Below are 27,446 nucleotides of genomic sequence, written 5' to 3' on the forward strand. Positions count from 1 at the left end.
TATCCGTAATTTGTAACACACACTAATGACAAAGATATTGGTAATTCATTTCAACAGAAAATTTACATAAAATAAACATGAACAATAATCTTGTTAAATATGCCAAAACCAAAAGTACTAATAAAATGCAAATACTTAAAAATCCTGAGAATTTATATAAAGTGGAAAAAAATTGCAACAGAAGATGAGGACTGTGATTGTACTTTTGGAGAAGACTATGTGAATCGGGTGAATGTATTCATGTGCACCTCACCTACAGGGACACATCTGAAGAGTATGCAACATCCTTAGGACAACAGATCCCTTGGGTCAGAGGTTGGAGTAGGGCTAGTGAGAGATTCAGGTGAATTACAATTTGTAAATGTGCCGTTGATTGCGATTCCTGTTGTCAGAAGGCGACTCTGACTGCTGTGTGGGGAATGGACTGGAAAGGGACAAGATAGGGAGTGGGGATAACCATTAGGAAAATATTGCAGAAGTCCAGGGAAGAGGCACAGGTGGATGGGACCAGGGCTGCAGCTGTGTGCAGGTAGGGAGGAGTGAACCTGGACAGGGCGTGTTTGGAGGTACAGCAGGCAGAACTTGAAGTGGCTGTGCGTGTAGGGTGCATGGGGATAAGGCACAGTCAAGGATGACCCCTCAGTTTTTTGTATAGCCATGTGGAGAAATGACACCGTTTTCTGAGAGCAGTCCTTCCATTTGCTCTTGAGATATTCTCAAGGTAATTAGGTCATCCAAACGTGGTTGTAGTGAAAAGAAGTTATTTTAAAATGCATCAGTTGATGATTAAGATTCTGTTGTATTAAACTTTATTGAAGACACGTGCAAACTGTCAAACTTTTAGAACTTGAAAAATCTCAACATGCAAACTCACATTTAATGAGCAGTTTACTATGTGCCAACCACTGTTCTAAGGGCTTTTGTGCCTCAACTCAAGTAATTCTCAAAACAACAACCCATGAGGTGGGGATAATTGTTTTCCCCATTGTACCTTAAAGACAACTGAAGTATAGAGTAATTCTGTTACTCTCACAAGGTCACAGAGAGCCAGTTATGCTGATATCTCCGCAGTAGAATTTTTAAAATTATGGGATTCCTGACCAAAATGGCAAGGCAATATTTGTTTAAAAATATTTTGTCTTCTTAGGTCAGTACTCTATTATCCTTGTTTTACAGATGAAGCATTTGAGCTACTGCAAGCTGAAGCAAATGTATTCAAAGTCCCACAAATTTAAGAAGCAGGGTTGGGCCCTAGTCTGTCTCCACAGCCAACACTCCTAACCAGTATACTTAGAAAAGAGGAAAAGACATTTGCCAAACCATGTCAGCCAATGGTGGTTGATGGTAGACAGGACCATATGTCTTTGAGTGATAACTATCCTTCAGTAGCCTTTCTTCCATGTACCAGATGATATTTATTTAAGAAAAACAAACAAGATAATGTAAAAACAAAAGTATAATTATTTTTAAAAAGGTAATAATCATCACAGTTAAGTTTTCCTTAGACAACCTGGCTGTTGAAATAATTCCTTGGACTTCTACAGTTAATTCTATTCCCTTTCAGGAACTCCGAGTGCTTTTACACATGGAAATCACATTTATTCTGGTTTCTATCCTTCAACTGGTTGAAAGGCAGGGCTGGTCTGATTTCCTTTGATGGGTGAGGCCATTTCTCCTAGGGATGCACCAAAGAGTGGCATTTCTGAGTCATATGACATGTGTATCTTCAGCTCAGTGGATACTGTCAAACAGTTGTTCAAAGTGGTTGTTCCAATCTATATTCCCACTAGCAATGTTGAGACTTCTACTGCTCCACATCCTCACCAACACTTGGTATTTTCTATCTTTTTCATTTTTCTCTTTCTGGTAGACATGTGATAGTATCTCCTTGTGATTTTAATTTTACTTTCTCTTTAACTCTCCTTGAAGTGTTGTCTCTTAAAAGCTATCTGTTGTTTAAAAAAAAAAACCTTTCTATTTATTTGCTTAGAAAACTGGATCTTTCATCCTTTGGAGGGTGCATTATGGATTTTGCTGATTGGATTCTTATTGTGTTGTTTATTAATTTCCTCTAGCCTCTCTTATTTCTTTTAAATTGGTAATTAGATTTAGAAGTTTGATCAAATTCAGCTTATTCAGCAAGAGTACCTCAGAAGTGGTGTCCTTTATTACTAAAGTGTCAAATTAGTAGGTTCATTGGGTCTGGTTGTCTCTCCTCCTGTAAGCTTGAAATTGATCACTGTATTTCAGTGTTGTCACCCTGATCCATCCATTATAAAATTTCCAGTAGCATTTCATCATAAGATGTTTGAACCTCTGAAGTAGACACCCAAAACCTATTTAATAAACTAATTAGATGTAGACATAGGAGTATGCAAGGAAACAAAACTATGTATATGACCTGTCCATCTTTTTGTAAACATGAATTTTTCAAAGAGAGTTGTGGTCATGCTGTACTTATTGTTTCATTATCTACTTTGAGGAAAATTTTGTTTCTGTTTATACAAATTATGCCTTTTCATTGGAAGAAATACAGAATGCTCTCACCTGGTGCCCAGAGTCAGAATTGCAGAAATTAAAGTCAACCAAGAGCTTGGAAAGGGGTAGGAGATTTGAGTGGAGTAAGGGAGGCACATGTATTCTATTGTATAGAATTGTAGAGAACAAAGCTTTCTGGAATTTTCTATATGCATGTTTCCAGAGCAATGAATATGTGGGCATCATAAATATAATCAGGTCACAATTACAGTGTTTTTTGTTTTTAACATTTTGAACAATGAAATTTCCACATTTAAAACACTAGGGAATTGCAAATTTATAAAACAAATATCCTCTATCTCCCTCCAAGGCAAATATACTGATTTATTAAATAAATCTTTTTAATATACTATTTTTATACCACAGCATATGAATGTGATTCTTAGTCAATAAATGTATTTCTACACTATCATTTTGTGACTAGGGTCACAGATTTTCCTGATTTACAAAACATTATCTTAATGACTTTGTCACATTATTAACTTTTTTTATTGTTTAAGCCATATGAAACATAATTGAAATGTATATTAGAAATTAAAAATATTCTGTCTAAATCTTCTCCATCTCCATAATACAAAGATGGCCTGTATTAATTTATTCGTATCTATTCTCCAGATCTTTTTTCTCTCCATGTAGTACACTAACTTATTTTTAGCCACACACACATACATATAAACCCATGTAGAGAGAGATAGATATATATATTTTTTCACAATGGAACCATATACTACATTATAATTTATGACTTTGTTGATTGTCCAAATCTGATTCTTTTTCATTTTGTGTGTGTGTGTCTACAAGTGTTTTGGGGAGATTAATATTGGTTTTTATTGCATTGTCTCTTGATATAATTGACCTATCTCTGTTGTTTAAGAGTACTTCATACACAGAGGATAAAAACCTAGATTAAATATGCATACAGCATTTATATATTAACATATAAAAGCTACCTTATCTAACATTTGTAGTGTAACTTGCGTGTTTAACTGTAGTGGGTAGAATTATGTCCCCCTCAAAACATGTCCCAAACCTAACCCACCCAAACTTTATTTGGAAATAGGGTCTATGTAGATATAATTAAGTGAAAGATCTCCAGAAGTAAATATCCTGAATGTAGGTTGATGCCTAACTCCAATGACTGGTGTCTATATAAAAGAAAGCAGAGGGAGATTTGACACATGCAAGGAAGAAGGCCATGTGAAGATTGAAGTAGAGATTGGAGTTATGCTGCCTCAAGCCAAATAAAGGAGGAGCTGGAAGAGCTAAGAAAGGATTCTCCCCTAAAGCTTTTGGAGGCAGTGTGGTCCTGCCTACACCTTGGTTTTGTACTTTGGGCTTTGGTTTTATACTTCTGAACCATGAGATAATGAAATTCTGTTGTTTAAATGTGCAAAGTTCGTGATAATTTGTTATGGTGGCCCTAGGAAACTATTCATTGGCTGATATCCTACTTTTCATGTCTACAGTGATACTAATGCCAGTAAGATATGTAAAAAGAATTTAAAATGACTAACATTTCTTATGAACTGTATGCTTTTAATGTATTGAGTCAGTCAGTGCTCACAGCTGTTTTACAAGGTAGATACTGTGACTAATCCTTATTTTATAGATGAAAAACTGAATGACAGAGAGAATAAAGACTTTGCTTGATACTGCATAGTTAGGGAGTGGGACAGCTTGGATTTGTGTCCAGTACCTCATGCTCCAGAGCCTGTCACAGATTTGTGTTAAATTTAAAGAAACGACTGGACAAGCATGCATATTTTATGAGTTCATTGAAAGCAATACTCAGTATGGTTATATATGTAAACAAAAAACTGAACCTAGTGACCAAAAAGGGGATTGTAACCTTGGCGAGATCATGTTCATTGCAATCCTGGGGACAGAAGCCACAGCGCAGTGGGATAAAGAGTAAATGGGAAATAATGTTAATAGAGAATGTAGAAAATTAGAAAATTTTTTGAAGGAGAAGGAAAAGACAGAGTCAAAGAGGGAGAGAGGGAGGGGAGGGGGAGGGGAAAGGAAAGGGAGAGGAGGGGAGAGAGAAGAGGGGAGAGGAGAAAAGAAAGATATCCTGTGGCTGAATTGAATTGATGATGTATTAGGCCATTCTTGCATTGCTATAAAGAAATGCCTAAGACTGGGTAATTTATAAAGAATAGATGTTTAATTGGCTCATGGTTCTGCAGGCTTACAAACATGGCACCAACATCTGTTTAGCTTCTGAGAAGGCCTCAGGGAGCTTTTACTCATGATGGAACGTGAAGCTGAAGTATGTATGTCACATGGTGAAAGCAGGAGAGAGAAAGTGGCGGTGGGAGCGGTGGGGGGGCGGGGGGGTGCCACACACTTAACCAGATCTCAGGAGACTCACTATCATGAGGACAGTACCAAGCCTTGAGAGATCTGCCCCCATGACCCAAACACCTCACACCAGGCCCAACCTCCAACACTGGGGATTATAATTCAACATGAAATTTGGCAGGGACATATATTCGAACTGTATCAGGTGATGAGGAACAAAAAAGGATTTTTAAAACAAAAAAGAATTTTCAATTCTTTGGAGTTTGAGAAAGTTTAAAGTTAATTTGAAGAAACCATCTCCTCTCAAATGTGAACCATGAAGTTACCCATATATTCATTTGAATTCTTACCCTCTTTCCACTTTAGTTAATGAGACACCTCCAGTAGACTAGTATGCTTTTAAAGCTCAATACACTTTCAGTTATTACCTAATGAAAGAATAGAAAATTGTCTGTTATAGAAATTCTTGTAATTCCTAGATTTTTGCCTCTCAAGGAGGCAGCGGATAGCTGAAATCCTCTTGTAATGTAGCTGGATAATGTGTGATCTGGGAACCTTGCACTGTTTACTGCAGAACCGGTCTACAGGATTCCTATAAACATATTAAAATACTGAGCAGTGCTGGAGCACTCATTAGATAATTGCCACTCCTTGTGTCCCTGATGTGATCTGTCGTGGAGCTCACCAGGTGAGTTCACAAACGCTCCTGTCCTACCACTATGGGGAAGTGGATTTGGGTCTGCTCAGAGGCATGATGTTGAATAGCTCTTAGGAACTTTCAAGCACCTAAGAATGCAGAGACCTTTGGTCTCTAAAACTTTGAACTTAAGGCATTTCAGAGAGAGATTGCTTCTTTCTTCACGATGTTTGTGTTGTCATTAGGCGAAACAATGAGAAGTGATTTTTTCATGATGACTACCTTAGCCTTGAGGCTCAGCCAGCCCCTCATGCTGTGTACCAATACTTAAAGGCCACTCCCTGCTGTATATTCTCAACAGATTTTCTCATTTACCCCTCAGGACTGCTCTGTAAGGTTGGTATAGTCAATCCCATTTCACAGCTAACCAAGCTCAGGCTCACAGAGCCTAAATCACTTTTCCAAGTAAGTGGCAGGATTGGAATGAGGTTCCATCCCTCACCTTCCCTAGAGGACCCTGAGCACCCCCTTTTAGAAGATGGCTTTCCAGGGTTTGAGAAATGGTCAGATTCCACTCCCCTGCTATTGTAGTCCCATGGGTTCCCACTCAACAACTCCTCTGAAGATGACAGGGGAAGTGAAATCCTGTGCTTTGTGCCATGAGATCTGGTTGTAGGGCCACATGAGAGGGCTGATCCTTAAAGTGGCAAGTGGGCTCAGGCAGAAGCTCAGGTGTTGGCCTTGGGACAGGTGAGCTGCAGAGAAGGAAAGAAACATGCACTGAATTACTGTAAGCAAATGCACTTTACACCTCATCTCCTTTAATCTTAACTGCTACCCAAGGTCATTATCACCATTATTCAAATTAGGCTGCTGCCTTTAGAGGAGTTTACGTAAATCAGGGAGACAACTTTGTTGTTTCCTGATAAGCACAAACTCTGTAATACTCTAGACTTTTATCATTTCTCTTCATTCCTCCAGGGCCCTGAATGCTCTAATCTCCCTCCAGGCTGGCAGTACCTGCTCCCCAGGTGTTTTTCAATGTTTTTTCTTTGAAATTTAAGATCTGTGTAATTTTAAAGTCAAATTTTGAAGTTTAATTGGGTTAGTATCCATGATTTGTGAAACATAGTAACAAAATGGCAACTATTTCAACAGAGAATTTAAATGAAATGTACATGAACAATAAACATACTAAAATACGCCAACCCCACAAGAACTAATAAAATGCAAATATTTTAAAATCTTGAGAATTTATAATGACAAGATGCAAAAGATAAGTACCATGATTGCACTTTTGGAGAAGACAATGTGTGTGTGTAGGTGAACGTGTTGATGTGTACCTCACCTTCAGGGACATGTCTGGAGAGTATGCACCATCCTAGGAACAGCAGACCCCTTGGGGTTAAGGAGTGGGAGTTGACCAGTGAGAGCTCAGGTTAATTTTGATTTATCAATATGCTCTTGTGTACTGTTCAAAAACTGGTATTTGGGAATAAAAGTATTCTGATGAAAATTTGAACACACAAAATACTTTGGAACAAATTGTCAAAGTTAAGGTGTACATAATGTCCATTAATTTGAAAAAGCATTCCTTATATTCTATTTTATTGTGAAAGAAGTAAATAACAAGTCCAATTGACAGAGGTTTTGTGTGTGTGTGTGGGTGTTTGTGTGGGTGTGTCCTCTAGCTCTACCACCCCAAATACAAAATCATGGATGCAACTTTAGTTCCAGCGGGGATTGGAACCAATATCAGTTTCATATATTCTGGAACATGATGGATACATGGAAATTGCTACCATTAGGTGAATAATTCCAGAAAACTGTGGCTGATACATTGGAGCTAACCTCCAACCTCCATGCCTCCCTCTTCCTGAGTCCCTGGTTTGAGATTATCAGAGCTGCGTTTCTGTCTCTGGCCACTAGGAGGCATCAGAGCTATCTCTGTTTTTGTACATTTTGCAGAGTAACATGTTTCAAAATGACTTGTTTACTTTGATTCCAGTTCTGTTTGGAAAATTCACATGTATATTAAAGCAGGTCCATTTGCTGTTGACCCCTAAATCTACATCGCATTCACTGATTTATCATCTCTTCCCTTCTCAGTGTAGGTTGAAGTGTCCACACTGTCGGAGGGGGCGGGGGCGGGGGCGGGGGAGGAGGGGTCCCTCCAGAGAGCAAGGCATTCACTCTCCATAACTCTATCCCTGTACAGGCTTCTCAGACCTTCTCACACTCTCTTTCAGTCTTCCCCTCTCCAGGACACTATAGACACAGTTCCCCAGATGCTGCTCCAGTGCCTCCGACCTCTCTCCGTCACCTTTCTACAGCCCCGTCACTGCTACCTGGTGTTTCATTTTGTGGATGCCCTGGAGCATATGTTTTTACATTTACACCGATCAGTTTTTTTCTTACCAGCATGGGGAACTGGTTTTGTGTCTTCTCGGAGGCATGATGTTGAACAGTTTTCGTGAGATTATGAAACACACAAGAATGTAGAGAACTCCATCTCTAAAACTCTGAAATCAAGGTGTATCAGGGAGATTTGCCTTCTTTATATGGATGTCTGTGTTTTCATTAGGAGAAACAATGAGTAATGATTTTTCACGATGCCTGCCTTGGCCTTGAGGTTCAGCTAACCCCTACTGCTATGTCTCAATATTTAAAGGGCCATTGAAGCCTCCCATTCCATGCCATATACCCTGGACAGGTTTTCCCATTTATGCCTGGGAATAACTCCGTGAGGATGGTATAGTCAGTCCCATTTCACAGATGACCAAGCTCAGGCTCACAGAACCTAAGTCGCCTCTTGAGGTAAGTGGCAGGATTGGAATGAGGTTCTATCCCTCACCCTCCCTAGAGGACCCTGAGAGCACCTCCCTTTTAGAAGATGCACTTCCAAGGCTTAAGAAATGGTCAGATTCCACCATTCAGATCATGGCGATGTCTTTAGGGGAGTTTGTGTAAATTAGGGAGACAACTTTGTTATTGTTTGTTCTGTATTGATGAGTATTTAGAATGCTTCTCATTTTTTCCTTTTTAAAAAGATTTCAGCAATACTGTAGCAAATAACCTCTTACCTGGCTATTTTGTACATGTGAAAAATGTTTCATCCATTACATGCTTACACATCTATCCCTTGGGGCTTGATTTCAATAATTTAAACTCCCTTATATGTGTCTGAGCATTCTCATTCCTTTAACCATCTTTATACCTGTTGTAGTTACAATATTTAAATGCATTTATAACTGAGAAGTGTGTTTCCATTTCCTTGATGTATTTGGTCCCTCATCCTGCCCCCATACACAGACACACACAGAGCCACTTTTACCTTTTTCTTTTGCAAATTAAAAAAAAATTCTTATTCAGTTTTTTCTACATTGAAATTTTGTCAAACGATAGGTGATAAAAGTATATTTAGATAGTTGCATTTGCATTCCTTATATATTAGTGAGCTAGAATGCATTTTCTTATGATTATTGGCCATTTGCATTTCATCATCCATGAACCATTTATATATTTTGTCAGTTTTGCTGTTTTGTTATAGGATCTGTACGTGTGTTAAATCTAAAACCCTTCATTGATCTATGCATGCGTTATTTCAACACATCTTTCTTGGCTGAATATTATTTATGAGACACTCTAGAAAAATCCATATCCTAGATGTTTCTTCTGAGATCTTGGCTCTTATATTTATGGGAGATGTCCCCCTGCAGCAAAAAATGTGTTAGTGCCCATGCAAACATGCGTGGCTTGTCAAGGATCACATGCACAGACAGTTCACACTTACTCCTAAACCCGGCATGGCCACAGAGTAGAAAGGATGTGTGGGGCATTATATAAGGAGAGCACTGGCTCAGGATTGTGATTTCTGTGATCTCTATACTAACGGCAAGATTTTTAAAAATTACGTAACATTTCTGAGTTTGCCTTTTCTCATTTGTAAAATGAAAACAATCATAGCTACCAAAGACAATTGTTCTGAGAAGTAAAAGAACAAATTATTTTAAGCGTCATACACAGCGTAGGGTACATACGGTACTCAACACATCTTAGTCTGCTTCCTATCTCATACCCGTCCTTCCTTTAAAGGAGATTCCTTTGACATAATCCAAAAGGCATGGTTCCATAACGATCACATGAAAGTTTTAAGGGAAATGTATAGGTTTCCATGATGAATTAACTGCTGTGTCACTACTCTGTGCTGGGTAAGAAAAAGGAAAACAATCGCTGAACCGGTTTCCCAGGGTTTGTAAAAGAAAACCATCAAAGCCACCACCTCATTTCACTTTATTTCGTAGACTTCCCCATCCCATTTTTTATGTTCTATGCTAATTTCTCAAGAAAAATAGGCCCGGCACCGCCTCTGCGCACAACCTTGCTGGTCTGGCCCAGGCGGGGGGCGGGGCCAGCACGATGAGCGCCCCGGGCAGCCCCGACCAGGCCTACGACTTCCTGCTCAAGTTCCTGCTGGTGGGCGACAGGGACGTAGGCAAGAGTGAGATCCTGGAGAGCCTGCAGGACGGCACGGCCGAGTCCCCGTACAGTCACCTGGGGGGAATCGACTACAAGACGACCACCATCCTGCTGGACGGCCAGCGGGTGAAGCTGAAGCTCTGGGATACGTCGGGGCAGGGAAGATTTTGTACCATATTCCGCTCCTACTCTCGTGGTGCACAAGGAGTGATCCTGGTCTACGACATTGCAAACCGCTGGTCTTTCGAGGGTATGGATCGATGGATTAAGAAGATTGAGGAACATGCCCCTGGTGTCCCTAAAATCCTGGTGGGGAATCGCCTACATCTGGCATTCAAGAGGCAGGTGCCCAGGGAGCAGGCCCAGGCCTACGCCGAGCGCCTGGGCGTGACCTTCTTTGAGGTCAGCCCTCTGTGCAATTTCAACATCATAGAGTCTTTCACGGAGCTGGCCAGGATAGTGCTGCTGCGGCACAGGTTGAACTGGCTCGGGAGGCCGAGCAAGGTACTGAGCTTGCAAGACCTCTGCTGCCGCACCATCGTGTCCTGCACACCTGTGCATCTGGTGGACAAGCTCCCGCTCCCCATTGCCTTAAGAAGCCACCTCAAGTCCTTCTCCATGGCTAAGGGCCTGAATGCCAGGATGATGCGAGGCCTCTCCTACTCCCTCACCACCAGCTCCACTCACAAAAGGAGCAGCCTCTGCAAAGTGAAGATCGTCTGCCCACCCCAGAGCCCACCCAAAAACTGCACCAGAAACAGCTGCAAAATTTCTTAAGGAAGGCACCAAAAGGAAACAAGCTGGAATCGCTCCAGGAAAAACTCTGAATGGTTACACCTGGAAGAGGGAAGATGCATTCTAGATTCAAAGAAATACGTTTTCAGTTTCTCATGGGAACAATGCTGCTTGGGAATGTGTGTGATGCCTTCTGTCAATAAAAGCACTTTACGCAGTTTGACTTTGAATTTCTACGTGGATGTGCATGTGTTTATAAAGGGGAAATTAGTACTCTGCTTAACTCTTGATAACATGAAATTTTGAATGTTACTTATATCATAATCACACTGCATCTTTTTCCTTAAAATAACCGCTTTTGTAAGAATGGTGATATGACAGTGATGAGTATAAATTCAAGGGAATTTGAGATGCAATGATAGTGAGATCATTCCGAGTCATTGATATTACTAGAGGGGACTTTTTGTAAACCTCCTTTTTGATGTCAAAGCACCAATTTATAAAACACTGCAGATGCATATAGAGATTATACGTAACAGATCTGTCCAGTTTGTGCACGAAATGGATTTGATAAAGTTTTTGCTATGTTATTTTACTACATTTGGAGATTAATAAGTGATTTATATGTATGTTTTTCTGTAAATCTACTTTTTTGTACAAGATGTTCTACAAGATATGAAGCTAAGGGAGGAAAACGCCAAAGATATCTCTAGTTATGTTGAACATAGCCAACATGGTTTCAATGGGTCAGTAAGAAAAAAGCCATTTCAGTAAGGAATGAAATAAGTACTTATTTATGAAAATGTTTCTTAACAATAAAAAAGTATATATTTTTATCTTTTGGTAAAACGAAAAGAAAAAGAAAGAAAAATATGTATAATGTAACCCTGCAAGATTAGGCTTTGCAGAAAAACAATGCAATAGAACACGGGGGGCCAGGCCCATTATAAGGCCTTAGGTGAGTAATTTCCCCTGTGCTGGCCAGTTTTGGTTAACACCTCTCAGATCGATATAGAGGTTAATGAGATCACATCTGGGAAAGCACTTCTGAGACCTTAGATGGGAAGGAAGGAGAAGTGATTTCCATGTAGTTACTTTCCAGTTTACACTGTGGGTTATTATAATTGATATTGGATGAACTGAGTAAATATAAGTCCTTGTACTCTTTTGTAATTGAATGACCATTTATTTGTGCATTGTCATAGGTTGATTGTAACATAAAGTCCCGCAGAAGGGCAGTACCTCTGGCCTCAGGGAGCCTTGGGGACTCACCCTTCCTGAACTCTGGTACTTTTCTATCTCATGAATTTCCCACAACATTCCTGGGAGGTAGAGGATATAATCTCTGTACCATCCTGTAGCTTAAGAAACAGTGATGTTTGCAGGTTAAGCAACCTGGCTGGGGAGCATCCTACCACTAAGTGGAAAAGCAGGGACCGGCACCCTATATGCCCCCATGCAGACTGTGACGCTGAGCTGCACATCACACCATAACCAAGCAAATCTTGCTTTCCTGCTGACCCAGGCCACTACTGAAATCTGTATCTTCAGCTCTGAAGCCAAGCTCCCAGTTCTGTCTCTCTTCTGAAAGACAGCCTTGTCAGACCTAAATTTCCTACTCTGTAGACAAGGGAGTGTGTCTGGGCCATTGCTTTAGAAACTGGAGTCCGCAGACAGTTCCTGTATCAGGAAGAATATGCACTCTCAGAGGGACAGGGGTCATGCTGAGGATGAATACTTGAAGGAGCAGGCCCTAAACACATGCAGATCGGGGATGCATAGAGTCTTTAATAGAAATTACCAAATCAACCTGGAAAGAGGTTGTACTAAATGACATCCCCACCACCAATATGAAACAGGGTAGACTTCCCTGCATGTGCCCACCTTACTGGAATCCTGAATGGTTTCTTTTTATACTTTGATGATATGACAGGTGGAAATTCTTTCATTGTCATTATATTTAATTTGATGTTCAGATAACTTAAAAAAATCCCTAGTATACAAAATGCTCTAATAATCATCATTGCATTATGTTTTTATTGCAAAATGGTCCATTTTCACATGTAGCCTAAAAACAATGAGCAACAGGCACTTGAGTCTGCAGGTTCTAGAGCTACTGCTGGCATTACATTTCCAGGGTGTGTGTGTGGCCTCTGGGTGCTTCTAATGACACTGTTTTCATAGAAGGGGATTAAGAATGTCTCTCCATGACATTGGTTGAGTTCAAGTTTGGAGAGGATCTGGATCTGCACTTTATGGAGTCTTTTTGAATGACACAGGAGCTGGACCACAACACGCTTCTGAGCAGGCTGTAATCTTTTCCCCATTGTGGAAAGCAAGCCTGTCTGTGACCTCACCTGCTCAAGTCAGGGTGGATCCCTCCAGGATGTAAGGTACGGAAGTCGGCCTAAATCTGCTTCTGAACACTGAAGCTGGGTGCTCCCATCTTGCAGAGACCTGAAAAATTGCCTGCTCTCAGCCACCAATGCCACAGATTCAGTCACTTGTGTGAGAACTCTGTCCTGAGAGATAAAATACCATAAATTACCAGCAGCTGTTTGACACATCTTGCATCCATCCATCCATCCATCCATCCATCCATCCATCCATCCATCCATCCTTGCAGTTAATAGACATTAAGGCCAAACTCTACACGATCCCTTTTGTGAAGTTTTAGGCTTCCCCAGAATAGAAACAAGGAAGTAAAGTGTGGAAATAGGGGCGTGGTGAATTCAGTTTGTAGATCTAAAAAGAGATGGCCCCTTCCTCTTAATATTCAACCTGAAAGGGTCTCTTATCATTGATAATTTTAAAACATAATTTAATACCCTGGACCCCTCTCTACATCCACAGTTACGGTTCTCTTTACATATATTCTCTCCATTGTAACCAAAGTTCTATGAAGAATTCTCAATACTCAACTCACATTCCTCCACCTCAGTCCTCATTGCTCATCTAATGGCGCTTTGTTCCCCCACCCCACCACTGAAATGAAACCCACCAAGGTCTACAGCCACTTCTTTTTCACATTTATAGATCAAGAATGTTGAAATAAACATCCTAATGTTTTCATCTGTGTAATATTTCAGAAGTTTTCTTATGCAGGTACTTATAAATTTATTCAGAAATGTATGCATTTATATACTTATCTTCAAAAGATAAGGTTCATCCTACATTTAATATCATAACTTGCTTGTTTCACTGAGAACATACCTCAAAGTTTATTGATTATGAATAAACATGAGTCTATACCATAGGGATAGTAGAGATACTAATGGCCAGTAAAGACAGAAGAAAAGAAATTAAAATAGCTAAAACATATTATTTGCCAAGTCCTTTTTAGGCATTGAGTCATTCAATTTTCAGAGCACCCTTACAAGGTAGAAACTGTTACTAATTCCCATTTCGTAGATGAAAATCTGAAGTACAGAGTGAATAAAGACTTTGCCTGAGACCACACAGTTAGGGAGAGGGAGAGCTTAGATGTGTGTCCAGTACATCATGCTCCAAAGCCTGGGAGACTGTCAAAGCTCTGTTGTTAGGTGAAAGAAGCAGTCTGCGCAAGCATGCGTACTTTGGGAGGTTACTAAAATGAATATTTTGTATATTAATATATTTATATGAAAAGCTAGATATAATGAGAAAAGGTAGATGATTATGACCTTGGTGAGAGGACATTCATTGCAATCATATGGGCAGAAGATATAGTACAGTGGGATAAGCAATCAAAGGGAAATGAGGAATGTAGAAAACCCTTTTCCAAAATTTGAATTTAAAGGTTATATATATATATCATATACACATTTAGTAATTGGCAAATGAAAGAATGGATAATTGTGTGTCAAAGGTATGCCAGTAATGCTAAGATTTTTGTCCCTCAGGGAGGCAGCAGGTGGCTGAAATGCTGGTTGCTGTGGCTGGCTAATGCATGACCTGAGGACCTGTGCACAGGTGACTACAGGACAGGTCCAGAATTTTTCTATAAATATATTAACATAGCAAGTAGCCCAGAAGCAGCCTCTGGGCAAACACCAAACCTTGCATCCCTGGTGCTATCTATCTCTGAGCTCGCCAGGTGATTTCCCAGTCATGCCTATCTTGCACACTGCCCCCACCCACAACCTGGGAAGCTGGATTTGGGTGTGCTCAGAAGCGTGATGTTGAGTAGCTTGTATGAGACAATGAAATACTTCAAAATGCAGAATACTTTCTTTCTCTGAAACTTTGAACTTAAGGCATATTACAGAGATACTTGCTTCCTTCAACCAGATGTTTGTGTTCCCATGAGAAGAAATAATGAGATGTTTCCCTAGGATCCTACAAATGTGAGCATTAAATATAATTTGTTTGTTTTTATTTTAGAGTATTTTCATTAGATCTAGATACTTCTATGTTTGTCTTGATTGACTCTATTGCATTATTTTATTTGACCTTCAAATAGTTTTATCTTCGTGAAGTGGGAGCCCCTCTAGTTTGGCTTCTGGTCTTTTTGACATGTCTTCTGGTATGTTAGTTGGGCCCAGCATCGTCAGCTACAATTCCTACCCACACCTGGAATAAAGCACTTCTCCAAATAACCTGATTCCTTTTAATGGGAAATGTTTTTAGTAAATTCAATCTGGAGACTAGCGTTGCTCATTGCTATTAGATTGGTCCTTGTTTCTTGTCCTTTTCTGTGCATGGATCCAGCAAATATGTATTATGCTTTTAAGGGAATACACATGATTGTCTTCCATCCTGGGCTGTTCCTCCATCCCTTACATGCAGTCATTTTGATCAATTTTTTTTGAGACAGGGTCTCATTCTGTCACCCAGTCCAGAATGCAGTGGCACAATCACAGCTCACTGCAGCCTCTCCACTCCCCAGGCTCAAGTAATTCTTCCATTTCAGCCTCTGCAGTAACTGGGACCACAGGCATGCATCACCACACCCAGCTATGTTTTTCTTTTTAATTTTTAGTAGAGAGGCCGTCTTGCTATGTTGCCCAGACTATTGATCAATTTTTGTTTTAAGATTCAAATTTATAATATTATAACCAAATGTAATATTTGTATTAGACTTCTCCTATTTCATAGGTGGCATATTCTACATTAGTGGAGTCCAATAGAATTTCTGTAGAGGTGAACATATTCTGTGTCTACACTGTCAAACACAGTAGCCACTAGCTACCTGTGGTATTGAATATGTGAAACGTGGTGAATGTAACTGAGGACCTAAATTTTTAGTTTTATCTAAAATAAAATATATCTAAAATACCTTGTTTAAATAACTACACGTGGTCAGTGCCTACCATATTGAACAGCAACAGCTCCACACATTTTTCTGTGCCTTGCTTCTTTCACTTAATAGTATATCCTGAAAATCATTACATGGCAGTAGAGAAAGAGAGTCCTCCTTGCTTGGTATATGTGCATTGTACTCTAAGATGTAGATGCACCTTATTCAATCAATCCCCTTTTAGTGGACATTTGTCTTATTTATAGTCTTGTCCTGTTACAAATTGTTCTTCTAGGAATGATCTTGTTCTTCTGCCTTTTTGTCTTTTTGAAATGTATGTTTGGGATAGATTCTTAGAATAGAGATTGCTGGTTCCTGGAGAAGACACCTGTGCCTCATAAAATAGAGAGGGAACAGGGAGTCCAGCCTGACTGGAGTGAAGAGTGGGGGCCTCCCAGGGGAGCAGACAGGGCTCTGAGATAACTGGGCACTCCAGGTCTGAGGCCATCCAGATTTGGGACTGATTGTGGAAGAACACATTTGCTTCGGTGATATGCTGCATGTCACCTTTACACCCTGAAATTACACAAATTTGGTGAGAACAGAAGTGTCCTGAAGACCTCTCACAGGTCCATGGGCGCAGGAAGGAGACAGGAGCACTGAAAATAGTGAAGTGGTTGATATCAGTGCCCTAAGCCTTCATTAAAGTGAGAAGCAAATGTTAAGAGGAAGGATTTACCACTAATTGGGTCCTCAGGCTGTCTGGAAATCATACACCTACTATAGTTTCTCTCTGACCCCAGGTCTGATGGTCTCCCATCTGCCAGCATATTTATGCCTTCCTCCTGGAGGCACATTCTTAGCCAGAACACTCTCTCCAGGAGGTCACACTTTCCATGCTTTCATTTGTTTTCTCCTTGTATCCTCCCTGAGATGTTTCATGAGGCTTTTCTCCTCTGTTGCCTCAGCTCCTTTCATCAGCTCAGTGAGTTGTATCACAATTCAACACTGCTCTGACAAATTTAGGCACAATTTAACACTCACCTTTACTATCATTTACATGTTGCATCTTTGCAGTTATTTATTTAGAGTTAAATTTGTGGTCCTACCCCAACAGAGCTGCATGTGTTGACCAAATGCCCCTTTCTGCTTAGGCAACTCTGTGCTGCTGTAGACTCATGGCTCACCATAATTTACTCAAATGGGCAGCTTTCCTGTTGTCCACATTACATGACCTTTTCAACTGTGTTCTGTAGAATCTCTGTGCAGGATTTCCTCCTGGGATGTGATGGTTTATTTCTGGATTTTAGTCATGGTATCTTCACATGTTCCCACGTGCAAAATTGACCCTATCACTCTGCATCCTTGTTGGATGCCTTCAGTGATTTACTAGGTGGGCCCACAATGTCCCTTTCATTTCTCTCTAAATGCATCTCTCTGCCAACTTACTCAAGGTAGGGAGTAAAGAAGATGCAGGAGATGATTCCTGGGCTGCCCTGAGTCCTCTGACCTGGGAGGATGCATTTAATACCCAGGAAGTGGATCTGACAAAATTCGATTGGTGGTGTTAGCACAGTTTATAACATCTGGAAAACACTGCATTCAAAGGGAGATATTTTTTAAGAGAAGAGAAAATGTCATTTGAGGCCAAAGTAACCTACTGCCCAATGTGGTGATATTCAGATCCTGTCTATTTAGAATATAAGGAAAATATGTACCCCATCCTAGGATATCTCACAAATTTATTAATTCATACATTCATGGATGATAATGTGCCCTGAACAGTGGTAAGTGCCTGAGTGCCCAGCTCTTTCAATGGCATGGTCAATAAAGTCCTGTTAATATCTGCCGTTTATAGTATAGTCTTCAATATTTACTCTACATATATTGAGGACCAATCAGATCTTGTACTTCCTGCTTCAACCATCAAACAGAATTTGGCTATCTCAAGAGGAATATGGAAATCTATTCTATTTAACTGTAATAGTGTTTCTTCTGTTGTTCTTTATTCCTTATAGATGTTTCTGGACTGTTTCGATTATTAATTATTTTGATAAAAGGGATTTTAAACTTTTAAAGACATTGGAAGTTGGCTGGGCGAGTTGGCTCACGCCTGTAATCCCAGCATTTTGGGAGGCCAAGGCAGGTGGATTACGAGGTCAGGAGTTTGAGACCAGCCTGGCCCAGATGGTGAAACCCCATCTCTACTAAAAATACAAAAATTAGCTGGGCACAGTGGCATGCGCCTGTAATCCCAGCTACTCGGGAGGCTGAGGCAGGAGAATCGCTGGAACCCGGGAGGCAGAGGTTGCAGTGAGCTGATATCACGCCACTGCACTCTAGCCTGGGCGACAGAGCAAGACTCCGTCTAAAAAAAAAAAAAAAAAAAAAGTGAAATTATAATAACTGAAGAACTAAAGTAATGCAGATTTATGTCCTAGCCTATTATACTGGATGAAAACAGAACTTTAAAAATATTCATCTCAATTTGCTAAATAATACATGTAATTGGGCCTGTTTGTGTATTATATTATATATATATATATATATATATATATATATATATAAATGAGTGTATTTATCATATATATATAAATATATATATTTGGTAGATCTTATTCCTGCTTCTACTTAAATATGTGACCCGATAATAGTGAGTTACCCCTTGTGAACCTTAACTGGGGCATCTGCAACATGGGCATATTGATACATACCTGGCTGAACTGTTGTGGGAAGAAAATGTATAATGCTTAAACCTATGTGAAGTGTCTAACATGTAATGCTACAACAAATATATGTATTGGCTTTCCCTGTGTTTTCTCTTCCACAAAAGACGTAGTTTACATGAACATCTCCTAGAGGTCAATTAGAGTTGAAGCAGCAGGAAATAAAATGTTTACATATTTCTATGAGAGAAAAGCTTTTCTGTCTTTTCTTTGTAGAAGTTACCTGATGCATGGAGTGGAGGAGAAAGAAAATAATTTCATTATTTTTTATTTGATGTCCTTTTCTAACATCTTCATTTACCTTCTATTTGGACATTGGAATAGCAACCTCTCATTGAGCCTCAGAAAGGAGACAGCACAGAATGACAGACCATGAAGATGGGTCTGCTGGGAAACAGATGATATCAGGAGAGCTGGGTCCCAAATACCAGATCTGTCCTTATGTACAGAACCATGGGGAGTCACTTCTCTCCTGGCCTCAACCCTTTCACAGGAAAAGATTTTATTTCCCAATAGTGGGGAGGTGTGGCTTTGGAGTCAGATAGAGTGGGTAGAATATTTGGGCACAATTAATAACTAGTTTAATGATCTTTAGCAAATGTTAGGTCTGCAGATAAATGAAATCCATGTGTAATGCATATACATTAAATATGTCTGCATAGAGAATCAAATGGGAGGTAATTCACAAAAATGATACATTTTAAAAAATCAGCCGTGGGGTTATTGATTAATTTATCCTGGAGCTCATTATGTTTCCTAAAATTTCACATTAGTAGGGATCTCTTTTGAATTCAGAATCAAATATAGAAACAGTAGTTTTTATTAAATATTTCAGAAATACACAAAATTATAGAATATAAGAAACTTCTATGTTAACATAAAACATATGCAATTAAAATTCACTTTGAAGTGTTCTCTAACTAATTAGTTTCCTTCTTCCTCACAGGTAACCACTATGCAAAATTTGGGGTTTACATTTTTAAGACATTTCTCTATATTTTTATTACATTTGTATAGATCTACACATGAAATATGGTATTTTTAATGGTATGATTTTGTTAACTGAAATATCACCAATTTATAGATTTTAAAAAGGATAGCTTTATTTCTTATAAAAGGTTACAGCCTGCAGAGTGGCCATTCTGATGGGCTGAGAATGTAGCCGTTGGAAGAAGCCCAGAAGCAGGCACTTTGAGGGAGTGAGAGGTAAGACAGGAATTTAAGCTGAAGGGGTTGGACAAAGATACATACTCAACACGTTATAGGAGGAGCTATGAATATTAATGAAGGGGGTCCTGGCACATGGGTACTGAACAAACATGTATGTTATACATATGGACCAGGTTCACCTTGGGGTGGAGACTTCACATTTAAATGTATTACAATTAGGCCCTATACGTTAAAAGAACTTTTCAGAACACAAAGGCACTCAAGTCCTGCCCTCTTTAAACTGGCCAGAACCGGTCCATGGTTGGTGATCTTCTAATCAGAATAAAGTTACCAAAATCAGTCTCTTGTCCAATCAAAACTGTAGCTATTGCTGGTGGAACAGGGGCTGGGGATCAGCATCTAGTGGTGGATGAGCTGCAAGTTGTTTTAATATTGCTTATCTTGAGGCCAGTACTTGTTTAGCTGCTGGAGAAAAATGCAAAGGAAAGCTTGTGTCAATTAGAACACAGTTTATTCTTTAAGTGTAGAGTGTGTGACTTAACCCTTGCCTGGCATGGCCTTAGGTCTTATTTATAATTTGATATCTTATTGCCACAAAGAGTCTGTTCTGCCAGTCTTATGATCTCTATTTTAACATTAATGCTGGTCAATTGTCGTATCTAAACCACAAAAGGGAGGGAGCATAACAAGTTCTATCTGACCCCACTTCCTGTCATGCCCAGGAACTCAGTTTTAAGGATTTTGGGGGGTCCTCTTGGCCATGAGGTTTGTTCAGTCGGTTGGGGGGCTTAAGGTTTTACTTTTAATTTACATTTTTATCTCTAAATGCATGAATACCTCATGGAATAAGAGGAAGGAAGAAACATAAGGAGAACAAATACATGTTCAGATTTCAACAGTGGGATTTGCCATATATGCCTACATGTCATGTATACTCTCTTTCCAACTTGCCAAAACAGACAGGCTCATTTACCCAGTTTATATGCTTAGGGAGCATTAATAAAATCTGCAGATATTATTTTCAAGCCCACTTTTTTTCCTGATGTATTCAAACACCTAGAGTTTCCCTGGAGTGAACTAGCCTAAAACAATGACTTAGTGTATTCTTTCATGAAACACCTTCTATTTGTCCAGACTACTTGTACTTAACTCAAACTGTAACTCATGTGGGGTTACCCTGTACATCTGGAACCTAATCTGGGCCAAGCTGATGAAAGAAGACAGTGATTCCCTGCAGTTAGTTTTCATATGTCCAAACTACTATCGAAATCCCTTGATTGGTTTAAGGATGCATCTCATTTAGAACCTGATCTAATTTTGTTTGACGGTTGTTATGACATGAGTACACTTTTCCATTTCATTTATTATTTTTTAATTGCACAAGAAACACACTTCAGAGGTGTTTGAGTTCACATGTGTTACTTGATGTTGTGGACAGAGGCCATAGTGCAGTGGGATAGTCAGTGGAAAGTGGAGAATATTAACAGGGAATGTAGAAAACTCTTTATGGAACTTTGAATGTAAAGAAAAAGAAACCAAGAAAGAGGAGGAGACAAAGAGAGAAAGAAAGAGAGCAATAAAGAGAGACAGAAGAGATATCTCCATCATGTGGCTGCAATGGATGCTGGTAAGTCCAACGAATGACATTTGAAAATCTTAAATTACTTGAAACTTGATCAAGTTTAAAATTATTGGGCAGTAGAAAAATTCAAAAGAAAAAATAATGGGAAGGAGCCATCTCATCTCAATTTAACATTTGAAGTTGCCCATATATTCATATCTTTTCTTACCCTCTCATTTCCACTTTAGAGCTAATGAGATGCCTCCACCGGGACAGCATGAAATCTGAGCTCAATAAACATTTAGTTATTACCTAACAAAAGAATAGACAATTATGTGTAAAAAATTCTGCTAACTATTGGATTTGTGCCTCTCCAGAAGGCAGCAGGTGGCTGAAATCCTGGTGTGATGTGGCTGGATAATACATGGCCTGAGGACTCCTGCATTGATGACTGCAGGATGGGTCCAGAATTTTCCTATACATAAATTAAAATACTAAGCAGTCCAGAAGGAGCCATTAGCAGACATCACACTTTGCTTACTTTGCTATCTATCACTGAGATCACCAGGTGAGTTCAAAGACATGCCTGTATTCCAGGCAAGGGAAACTGGATTTGGGTCAGCTCAGGGGAATGATGTTGAACAGCTCTTATAAGCTTCTGATAACACCCAAGAAGTAGAGAAACTACTGTCTACAAAACTTTGAACTCAAGGCATATCAAAGGAACATTTGCTTTCTTCAACTGTTTTCTTATAAAGGGAAATAATGAGAAATGATTTTTCACAATGCCTGCCTTAACCCTGAGGCCCAGCCAGTCCCTACTGCTGTGTCCCAACATTTAAAGATAATTGAAGTCCAACTCCATGCCGTATATTCTCAAGAGGTTTTCTCATTTACCCCCCAGGACAGCTCTGTAGAGATGGTATGGTCAATCCCATTTCACAGATGACCAAGCTCAGCCTCACAGAACCTAAGTCACCTCCCCAGGAAAGTGGCAGGATTGGAATGAGGTTCCATCCCTCACCCTCCCTAGATGGCTCTGGGCAGCCTCCCTTTTAGAAGATGGGCTTCCAGGCCTTGATAAATGGTCAGATTCCACTCCCTGGCTGTTGTTCCCCACAGGTCCCCACTCCACAACCCCTCTGGGTAATGATGAAGGCAGAGGAGGTGAAATCTCATGCTTTGTACCAAGAGACATGGGTGTAGGGCCACACGAGTTGGCTGATCCTTGAAGTGGTGAATGGGCTCAGGCAGAAGCTCAGGTGTTGGCCTTGAGACAAGTGAGCTGGAGAGAGGGAAAGTAACATGCACTGAACTACTGTAAGCAAATGCCCTTTACATCTCATCTCCTTTAATCTTAACTGCCGTCCAAGGTACCCATGACTATGACCATTATTCACATCAGGGTGCTGCCTTTAGGAAATTTTATGCAAATAAGAGAGACAACTTGTTCTTTCCAGATCAGCAGCTAACTTTGGAATACTTAAGGTATTTTTCTATTTTGACTTGATGGCTCCAGGCCTGTTAATGCTTTAATCTTCCTCAAGGGATAGTACACACGCCTCAAGACGTTTTTAAATATATTTAATCTTCTATAATCCTAAGTATCAGTCAAATTACCCAATATCACCACCATTATTCATATAAGGTTACTGATTTTAGGTGTGACTAAGTAAACCAGTAAAATACCCTTGTTATCTCCCTATCAACAGTTAATTTTGATTATTTTAAAGTTTTTCTCATTTTGTCTTCATGCTTTTGGGGCTGTGAATGATCTCATCTCCTTGGGGTCTGCCATTACATGATCCCAGAGTATTAAACTTTTTTTTTTTGAGATAGAGTTTCACTCTTGTTGCCCAGGCTGGAGTACAGTGGTGCAATCTTGGCTCACTGCAACCTCTGTCTTCTGGTTTCAAGCGATTCTCCTGCCTCAGCCTCCCAACTAGCTTGGATTACGGGCGCCCTCCACCACGCCTGGCTAATTTTTGTATTTTTTAGTAAAGATGGGGTTTCACCATGTTGGCCAGGTTGGTCTTGAACTCCTGACCTCGTGATCCGCTAAACTTTTTTTTTAAATTATGACCCATATAGTTTTTAAGTAACAATATTACTGATGTTGAAAAATTCTAAATGAAAGAAAAAGGTTTATATATCCCAGAAAATATACTTTTAAAAAATAACCTAGATAAATGGATGCACACAAATTGTGACAAGTATGTGAAAAATTCCAGAATACTGTGCCCGATGCCATTAATTAGATCCCACCCTCCCTTCCTCCCTCCCCTCTCCTGCCCCAACTCTACTCCCAGATGTGCAATAATTTCTCTGGCCACCAGGAGGCATCACAGCTATCTTCATCTTTGTCGTTCTTTTTTAATGAACAGAAGTGTATTCTACAGAGTAATGAATGTTATGAAAATATTTATTATAATAACAATTCTGTTTGGAAAATTCACATGCATATTAAAAACAGTCCTATTTGCTGTTCACCCCAAATCTACATCGAATTCATTGATTTATCTCTTCCCTCCTCGGTGTAGATTGAGGTGTCCACACTGTAGAGGGGTGCCTTCCAGAGAGCTGGGTGTTCACCCTCCGTTACCCTACCGTTGTACAGGCTTCTCAAACCTCTCACTCCCTCTCACTCATCCCCTCTCCAGGACATTATGGACGCAGCTGCCCAGGACCCACTTAGGCACGCCCATACTCTCTCAGTCACCTTCTGCCTGCCTTGCACTATTAATGCTAATGATTGCCAACGTGTGCTAGAGCTGTCTGGTGTTTCATTGTTGATGCCATACATATATACAGACTTATTTTACACCTATCATCAGGTTTTTTTCTGACAGAATTAGAATTACTCTGTAATCTAGATTCATAAGCTAAGTTTTAAGGGAGGTATTTTATTTTTTGCTCCTTGCAGACCCTTCTTGATAGAGTTCGATAATGGTGGTACCGTGGTGCCCTCTCGTGACAGAAGGCTGAACTACAGCTAGAACATCGCGAGCAGGAAGGTGGGAGGGAGAGGCTGTGGCCCAAGCCCACCTTACAGAGCTTTCTGGAACTCTGGGTGGCAAAGCGGACATTCTCAGTATTCCCAGGGACATTGATGGGCTCAAGACAGAAATCGTTATCTCTTACTGTGCTGAAAAGAGAGTTCTATATCAGAAGAAAAAGGTCATTTTAATTTTTATTCTTTGACCACTGGAAAATCAGAGACCTAAATGAGGGAAAAATGGATCCAGACTACTTGTTCAAGTCTTTGTACCCCTCTTTAAATCTTTATTAGCATTTTTTCATGGAAATAAATTTCTATAACATTCGAAATTACGTTACAATATACGTTCAATATTTTTATATTAACTGGTGTTTCATCGTAGGATGCTGTAAACTTTATTTCCCCAGTATCCTAGTGGTAAAAAGTAAGCTCCCTTACCATAGTTTCTATAACAGATGATATTTGTAACACTTGCTCATATACACAAATGTCTTGGCAAGAATTTCTTAATAAGATTTTGAAAGCATCCTTTTAAAATCTCAGATACTCTAAAATTTTATATTAATATAATGAAATCAGAATAATATTTATCAGATATACTCCTAATATCCCAGTATGAGAGTTGCTATTTCTTTTATTTTTATATTCAAGTATAATTCATTTCTTTATTCACTTAATACTTTTTAAACTTTTACTTTAGGCTAGGGGCTCAGGGGTATATTTGCTGGTTTGTTATATAGGTAAATTGCTTGTCACAGGGGTTGGGTGTACAGATTATCTCATCATCCAGGTAACAAGCATAGTACATGATAGGTAGTTTTTCAGTCCTCTCCCACCCTCTATTCTCAAGTACACGTGTCCACGTGTACTCATGTTTATCTCCCACTTACAGGTGAGAACATGTTGTATTTGGTTTTCTGTTCCTGTATTAGTTCACTTAAGATAGTGGCCTCCAGCTCCATCTATGCTGCTGCAAAGAACATGCTCTCATTCTTTTTATGGTTGTGTAGTATTCCGTGGTGTGTATGTACTACGTTTTGTTTATCCAGTCTACCATTGATGAGCATTTAGGATGATTCCATGCGTTTGCTATTGTGAATAGTGCTGTGGAATGTGTGCATGTCACTTTATAGTAGAATAATTTATATTCCTTTGAGTATATACCCAATAATGGGATGGCTGGGTTGAATGGAAATTCCATTTTAAGTCCTTTGAGAAATCACCACACTGCTTTCCACGATGTCTGAAGTAATTTACATTCCCACCAGAAGTGTATAAGCATTTCCTTTCCTCCACAACCTCGCTAGCATCTGTAATTTTTGACTTTTTAATATTAGCCCTTCTGACTGGTGTGACATGGTATCTCATTGTAGTTTTGCATTTATCTAATGATTAGTGATGTTGAGCACTTTTTCATATGCTTGTTGGCCACGCATATGTTTTCTTTTGAAAAGTATCTGTTCATGTTCTTTGCCCACTTTTTAATAGGGCTGTTTTTTGCTTATACGTTTGTTGAAGTTCCTTATAGATTCTGGATATTAGATCATTGTTGGATGCATAGTTTGCAAGTATTTTCTCCCATTCTGTAGGCTGTATGTTTACTCTGTTGATAGTTTCTTTTGCTGTGCAGAAGCTATTAATTTAGTTAGGTTCCATTAGTTAATTTTTGGTATTGTTGCAATTGCTTTTGGTTTCTTCATCATAAAATATTTGCCAGGGCCAATGTCTAGCATACTATTTCCCAGGCTTTTTTCAAGACTTTTTTTTTCCTTTTTTTTTTTTTTTTTTTTTTTGAGACGGAGTCACGCTCTGTCGCCCAGGCTGGAGTACAGTGGCATGATCTCGGCTCATTGCAACCTCCGCCTCCCGGGTTCACGCCATTCTCCTGCCTCAGCCTCCTGAGTAGCTAGGACTACAGGCGCCCGCCACCACAGCCGGCTAATTTTTTATATTTTTAGTAGAGATGGGGTTTCACCATGTTAGCCAAGATGGTCTCGATCTCCTGACCTCTTGATCCGCCCGCCTCGGCCTCCCAAAGTGTTGGGATTACAAGCGTGAGCCACCGCACCTGGCTTTCAAGACTTTTTATAGTTTTAGGTTTTACATTTAAGTCTTTAATCCATCTTGAGCTTAGTATATGATGTAAGGAAGGGGTCTAGTTTCAATCTTCTGCATATGGCTAGCCAGTTATACCAGCACCATTTATTGAATAGGGGGTTATTTTCCCATTGCTTATTTCTGATGACTTTGTTAAGGATCAGATGGTGGTAGGTGTGTGGCTTTATTTCTGGGCTCTTTGTTATGTTATATTGGTCTCTGTGTCTGATTTTGTACCAGTACGATGCTGTTTTGGTTACTGTAGCCGCTCAAAGTCAGGTATGCTATGTAGCATAGTTTGAAGCCAGGTAACATGATGTCTCTGGCTTTGTTACTTTTCCTCAGAATTGCCTTGGCTATTTGGGCTCTATTTTGGTTACATATGAATTTTAAAACAGTTTTTTCTAATGCTGTGAAGAATGTCATTGATTGATTGGAATAGCATTGAATCTATAAATTGCTTTGGTAGTATGGCCATTTTAACAATAGCAATTCTTCCTATCCATGAGCATGGAATGTTTTTCCATTTGTTTGGGTCATCTCTAAATTATTTGAGCAGTGTTTTGTAATTCTCTTTGTAGAGATCTTTCACCTCCCTGGTTAACTGTATTCCTAGGTTTTTGTTTCTGTTTTTGTAATTGTAAATGGGATTGCATACTTGACTTGGCTCTCAGAGTTGGACATTGTTGGTGTATAGAAATGCTAATGATTTTGTACACTGATTTTGTTTGCTAAAGTTGAAGTTCGAGGAGCTTTAGGGCAGATTATGGGGTTTTCTAGGTACAGAGTAATATCATCTGCAAACAGATAGTTTGACTTCCCCTCTTCCTGTTTAGATGCCTTTTATTTCTTTCTCTTGCCTGATTGCTCTGGCTAGGACTTACAGAATTATGTTGAATAGGAGTGGCAAGAGTGGGCATCCAGTCCTCAAGGGTAATGCTTCCAGCTTGTGGCTGTTCAATATGATATTGGCTGTGGGGTTG

At 39.6% G+C, this 27,446-nt stretch overlaps 1 protein-coding gene and 1 long non-coding RNA gene across 2 annotated transcripts in view; both read left to right on the forward strand.

The window, feature by feature from the left end:
• LINC00630 (long intergenic non-protein coding RNA 630) overlaps positions 1–27,446 on the forward strand; it is a 195,371-nt gene that overhangs the window by 158,268 nt on the left and 9,657 nt on the right. The gene's annotated exons all lie outside the window — the stretch shown is intronic.
• Positions 9,852–10,880, forward strand: RAB40AL (RAB40A like). Its single transcript, NM_001031834.1, has one exon. The coding sequence runs from the start codon at positions 9,899–9,901 to the stop codon at positions 10,733–10,735; it is 837 nt and encodes a 278-aa protein (NP_001027004.1). The 5' UTR covers positions 9,852–9,898; the 3' UTR covers positions 10,736–10,880.

Source organism: Homo sapiens, chromosome X, assembly GCF_000001405.40.
Source record: "Homo sapiens chromosome X, GRCh38.p14 Primary Assembly".
NCBI lineage: Eukaryota > Metazoa > Chordata > Mammalia > Primates > Hominidae > Homo > Homo sapiens.

Bases quoted from the DNA above. Each gene is read 5' to 3' on its own strand.
- RAB40AL (NM_001031834.1), top strand. From the start codon at position 9,899: ATGAGCGCCCCGGGCAGCCCCGACCAGGCCTACGACTTCCTGCTCAAG.